The sequence below is a fragment of the Homo sapiens genome, chromosome 20 (assembly GCF_000001405.40).
Source record: "Homo sapiens chromosome 20, GRCh38.p14 Primary Assembly".
In the NCBI taxonomy this organism is placed as follows: Eukaryota; Metazoa; Chordata; class Mammalia; order Primates; family Hominidae; genus Homo; species Homo sapiens.
In genome coordinates, this window is record NC_000020.11 from 571,893 (window position 1) to 577,818 (window position 5,926).

Consider the following 5,926-nt stretch of genomic DNA (forward strand, 5'->3'; position numbering starts at 1 on the left):
CCTCGCCCCACCCTGGCCGGCCAGCTGTGGATGTGACAGGAGGCTTGGCTCTGGCTCACTCCGGCACATTCCTGGCCCAGCCACTGTTTTCCTCTTCTTCTTTTTTTTTTTGGTGGTGACTTTTTCTCCCATACCCCTCCCACTCCTTTTCCTCAAAAATGCTGTGTCTTTCCCCAGAGGGTCCCTCTGGGCGGCTCCGGGAGGGAAATGTGGCCTGGATTTCCTGGAACGCGTGGAGCTGGAGTCTCAGCGCTGGGAGGAGGGAAGCTGTTGGCAGCAGGGCACCCCCCCAACATAACTGGGCCTCCCTGGAGAAAGAGGGTGAGCGGAGCCTCAATATTCCCTTTGCACTGGGCCCTCTGAGCAGTGGCACCCGCAGCTGCAGCGAGTGGGCTGCTGCCTCGGGGATAGTGAGACGCCTCTAGGAAACCGCGGCTCTGTGATCTTGGGGAAGCTGGGCATTCTCTCTGAGCTTGGGTTTCCTTGCTCCTTAGAACTGAGGATGTGATCTGGATCTGCCACAGCTGGTGGGACAGTCCAGTGAGGCGATGGCTGTACATGGTCCCTTTCCAAACAGGGAACAAGAAGCGAGGTGTTGGGGGCATCTGGGGATGCAGGTTTGGGGGCTGCATTTGGGGCAGCAGGGGTGGAACAGAGAATTTCCATCCTTCCTTCTTACCTTCATTCATTCATGAGACAAACGTGTATCAGACAATTACCATTGTGCCTCTCGGGGCTCACAATAAGAGACAAGTAAATGTCTCCTGTAGGGGCAGGTGCAGATGAGTGCTCTAAGAAAAAGTGAAGCAGGGTGCAGGGATAGAGTTTCTGAGGGTGCTGGGGGGAGCTGCTCTGCTGGGGCACCACATGAGCCCAGGCAGAGGGAGCAGTGGGTGCTGAAGGCTCTGAGGTGGGAGCAAGCAAGGAAGGGAAGAGAAGGCAAGGTTTGTGTGGAGTGGGGGAGACAGCAGAGAGGGCTGTGGGGACTTCTGGGTGAGGCGAGGACTTTGGCTCGATTCATGGGAAGCTACGAAGGGCTTTGAGCCTGCAGTGACACAGTCTGTAAAGGACCCACGGGGCTCTACAGGAGGTGCGCACGTGGAGGAGTGACTTGGAGGCCAAGCAGCTGGGGTCCTGGCTTCAGCTCCTCCCTGGCTCTGTGAGCGTGGACAGGATGCTTCTCCTTGAGCCTCATTTTCCTCCTCAGTAGAGTGGGCTCATGGAGCTCTGAAGACTAAGAGGAAGGGTCATCAAAGTGATGACCCTTTGCCATCACTTTGCCTGTGAGCTACAGGTCTCTATAAGTGGGAGCTGTTTTTTTCTATGAGCCTCTGAGGATTGGAGCCACTTGCTTAGGGGGAGGCTTTGGGGACAGAGCCAAAGGCTGGTTCCGAGCCCAGGTAGAGCAGTGGCTGCTCAGATTTTGGGGACATGTGGTGTCATGATCTGGGAGGGGGATATTCTTGAGTTGTCTGCAGCCCTTTTCCCCTTATGGGTACGTGGCTGGATTTAGGGAACCCTAGGGCAAGGGAAGAAGGGCTAGGAGCTGCCCCTGAGATCTGTGAGATGGGAGGTGGCCGGGTGTTCAGAGGTTCTCTGAGGTTGCAGAATGCCCTGTCAACCACTCTCCCATACCCAGAGGGGGCTGGACGCATCCCTCTCTCCCTTGTCCTCAGTCTCGATTTTCTCATCTGTGAGGTGGGCACAACAAGTCCTAATCCTGGCAGTGATAGGAACGTTTGGGGAAGCAGTGATTTGTCATGCATGATGCGGTCGGACAGGACCCTGCCCTTAAGAAGGAGGGAGCCCACCTGCCCAGGCACTGTGCTGAGCTTCTGTGCATTAGCTGAAAGTGGACAGGATGACGTCACTTCACTGGAACTTTCTGTGGCTTCTCTTTGCTCTCCTATGGAGGTTCCATGGGAGGTAGGAGCTGGGGGCTAACCCTGCATACCTTATAAACCTCAACTCTCACATCCTCCTGGCTTTCTGTGTCCAGGTTCACAGGCCTCCTGAATCTCCCTCCTTAATGCCCACGTTGTTCTGGCCTCTGAGACATTGTGTTACTCCCTGAATTCCTTCCTCTTGCCCTAGTAAACTCTCCCTCCCTGCTCAGCTCAGTTTAACTATCTCTTCCTAGAGGAAGCCCACCCTGTCCTGTAGACTAGGCTGAGTCTCACATTGCGGCATCTTAAGGTGCTGCCTCCTCTCCTGGTAACACCTGTCGCTGTTGTAATTTCACAGGTGTTGCTGCAATTACCTGGTTGCTGACTCTCCCCACATTAGGACTGTGTGTTCCATGAGGGCAGGGACGTTTTCTCGATCACAGCCATATCCCCAACAGTAATAGCAAATTGCAGATGCTCAATAAATGCTTTCTGGATAAATGGAGGGGTGAAATCATTTTGACAATCAGAAGAAGAAGGTGCCCCCCTTTTACAGATAAGGAACCAAAGGTACAGAGAGATTAAGTAACATGCCCCGAGGTCACACAGCCAGAATCAGATGGTGTCTGTCTGGGAATGTGTCCCTGCAAGCCAGGCCTAGAAGGTGGGCAGATGGGGTTACGCAGAGAGGAGCTAGGACCATCTGGATAAGGGAGGGTTGTGGGGGCAAGCCCCACCCATCCTTGTTTTCTCCATTCGAATAGTGGTTTGTGGCTGTTTTCCTCAAGGGCGACTCAGGTGACCTTCAGGTTGGGGCCTCCTGGGTCCCAGGGGCCTGCTGGGTGGAGGGCCCGGTCTGGCTGGGCTGCTTTTCTCGCCCCTTTGCCGGCCCGCTGGCTTCACGCACAGATTACAACTTCCCCTCTTCGGCCGTCTTACGCAGGCCACCTCCGGCTCGCCATTGTCTCATTGTTTGCTGAGGGAAGCTCCAGGAGGAAATCAACCTGCTGCTCACCCCAAGCAGGGAGTTTCACCCCCAGCCCCCACCCAGGGAATGCCTGGGGGGAGGGCAGGAGGGGTGGGGGCAGGTAGCAGGCAATGCAACAGGCAGCCTTGAAGGGAGTGAGCTCCCTGGCCGGGAAGTATGCAAGCAGAAGCTACATTCACAGCACCTATTTACTAGGTCCTCTCCCAGGCTGCACGTCAGGCAGCTGGAGACACAGATGCTAGAAAAGGGTCTTGTCCTTAAAGACCCTGTAGCCTAGAAGAGATGCTGGGCAGGGCCTCAAAGCCAAATGCCTTAGGGGCCAGACAGGTGACAGAAATCTGTAGGCCTGCGAGCAATGCTGAGTGGTCGGGACGTTAAATGAAAACTATGGTGCGAAGGAAGGCTTTTAGATTCCAATTTTATTTTAACATGTTGCTAATCAAACAAATGAGTCCTCCAGCCTGATGTAGACTGCGGAACCCCAGCCTAGCCCTTTAGAAAGGAATTCTTGTTCTGGGGTGAAATTGGATCAATAGTTATTGGTGTCTGCCCCTATGCCTTTAGCTATAGCTGTGATGGGCAGTTCCCAGCACACTGACAGCATCCCTTTTCAAACACCCAGCAGTCATTTGGCTTCTCTGAAGACTTGGGAACTCTCTCAGGGACCTGGGAGGAGTTGATGCCACTAGGGGCACCCCTCAGTCAATGGGGAATGGGAGTTAGTGGGTAAATGCCCCATCCTCTTATCCATTGGAAGTTCCTGGTCACTCAAAGGTCTGCAGTGAGTTGGGGGCACTGGTTGCCCATACTGGAAACTGGCTCAATAACTCACTTTTTATCCGTTTCCCCTCTTCGCTGTCACTCTCCCAGATCCCTCTGGCTTCCTGGGCTACCGGCTCCCAAATTCTTGTCTCAGGCTCTGCTTTTAGGGGAACCCAAACTAAAACAGTCTCTAATATTCTTTCCAAATAGCTTATGATTGTACACTTAGGTGATTCTAATATCCAATGACTTTAACTCTGTGATTATAAGTTTTCATAAGTAAACCCAACTGTGATTCCAGAATGATGTCATTCTAATATGGCCGAGATACACCTATCAGAACTGGAATGCTCCATTTTGTACAACTGAATTTTGCTTCTCTTGAGCTCCTATTTTTTTTTTCCGATGCCAGAAAATGCAAACTTCAAAAAAATCTAGACAAAAACCAATTATTTCAGATTTGAACTCAGTTGGGTGAATCAAGCTTTCCCTGGCATCCCTTTTTTCCCGGATTCATTTAAGTCCTGGAAGGGTAGAGGCATCTTGGCATTGGTTGAGGGAAGAAGGGGTCTGTGACTGGTGTTTCTCAAGCTATACCAACCCATCTGGCTCTCCAGCATGCTTCTGCCCCCTTGGCATTCACTGGAGATGACCCACTCATGTTGATGCTTTGATCTCTAGGGTCAAAGAAGCATAGCTTTCTCCTCCTGGACCATACACTGTAAGAGTCACGTCCACTCCATTCAGTCATCTGAAAAGATGTGTTCACTTTTTACACCTCACAAGGCCCTGTATACAAACTCGTCATTCAATCAAATGTACTTGCTGAGTATCCGGCATGTGTTGGCATTGAGCCAGGCACTGAGGATACAAAGATGAAAAGACAGGTCCCTTTCCTCAAGTCATTTGCAAGCCAAATAATGTATAAATATTTTCAACTTACATATTGTGATGTCCATTATGAAGGAACCAAATAGGGTAGGCAGAGAAAGCCTCTTTGAAGAGCTGTCATTGGAGCCAAAGTCTAAAGTCAGGGGAAGCCACAAAAAGGTTTAGCAAGAAAGACATGTCTGATTATATCTGTAACTGTAAAACATTTTCTTTTTCTCTTTCTTTCTTTTATTATTATTTTTTGGAGACAGGGTCTCACTTTGTCACACAGGCCAGAGGGCACTGGTGCGATTTTGGTTCACTGCAGCCTCAACCTACGGGGCTCAAGCGATCTCCTTCCTCAGCCCCCCAAGTAGCTGGGATTCTAGGCACATGCCACCATGCCCAGTTAATTTTTTTGTATTTTTTGTAGAGATAGGGTTTCACCATGTTGCCCAGGCTGGTCTCGAACTCCTGAGCTCAAGTGATATGCCCACCTTGGCCTGCCAAAGCATTAGGATTAGAGGTGTGAGCCATCACGTTTGGCCGGTAACTGTAAAACTTTTTGTAATACTGAAGGCATCTCCTGCATTTTTTCATACATTTTACTTTTCCCCTATTTATTGGTGGCCTCCATCACCTTAGAGATTCACGTCTCAAAGGACAAGAGTCATGGAAATTTAGTCAAAGCCCTGAGTAATTTGAGAGTGTACAATTTATGCCATAAATAATAGATTGAGAAGAATAGATGAGTCAAATTGGTTTTCCTCTTTAGGAAACGAGATAAAGATTATCGGGAGGTGGGGAGAAGGGAAGTGTAGCAGAGATGTCCAGCTGTCATGCAATTACCCGACTTCCCCTTCTTCTATAGCTGCAGATGGCCATGTATCTACACTGCATTTCGCTGTCTCCCTTGCAGTTTAGGCGTGGCCACGTGACCAGGCTCTGGCAAAGGATATGTGAACCGAATGGTGTGTGCAACTTCTGGGTCATGCATTGAAAGAAAAAAAGGGGCATCCTCTTCCCACACCTCTTCTTCCCTTCCTGCCAGCTAGAATTTGGCATGGTGGCAGGAGCAGTAGCAGCCGTCTTAGACCACAAGACTGAAGCCACACGTTGAGGATGTCAGAACAACAAAATGGAAGGATCCCAGGTATCTGACGTCATGGGACTCATAGCGGCCTAGACTGCTTGCCCCCTACTGGTTAGTGAGAGAGAAATCAATAGCTGAGTTAGCATCCCAAGTAATACAGAGGGTCAGAAATATAGGAAATTAGCCTGTTGCTGTGGCTCACGCCTCTAATCCCTGCACTTTGGGAGGCTGAGTTGGGCAGATCACTTGAGGTCAGGTTTTGAGACCAGCCTGGCCAACATGGTGAAACCCTGTCTCTACTAAAAATACAAAAACTAGCTGCGGCAT

At 50.6% G+C, this 5,926-nt stretch overlaps 2 annotated features.

Moving 5' to 3' along the window:
* Positions 413-1,173: an enhancer, noted in NCBI's record as "H3K4me1 hESC enhancer chr20:552949-553709 (GRCh37/hg19 assembly coordinates)". NCBI's record gives its function as "activates a minimal SCP1, AML or CMV promoter by ChIP-STARR-seq in primed H9 embryonic stem cells {active_cell/tissue: H9 hESC(primed)}" and the evidence as "EXISTENCE:reporter gene assay evidence [ECO:0000049][PMID:30033119]".
* Positions 5,233-5,527: an enhancer, noted in NCBI's record as "tiled region #14258; K562 Activating non-DNase unmatched - State 5:Enh". NCBI's record gives its function as "activates a minimal TATA promoter and a strong SV40 promoter by Sharpr-MPRA in K562 cells {active_cell/tissue: K562}" and the evidence as "EXISTENCE:reporter gene assay evidence [ECO:0000049][PMID:27701403]".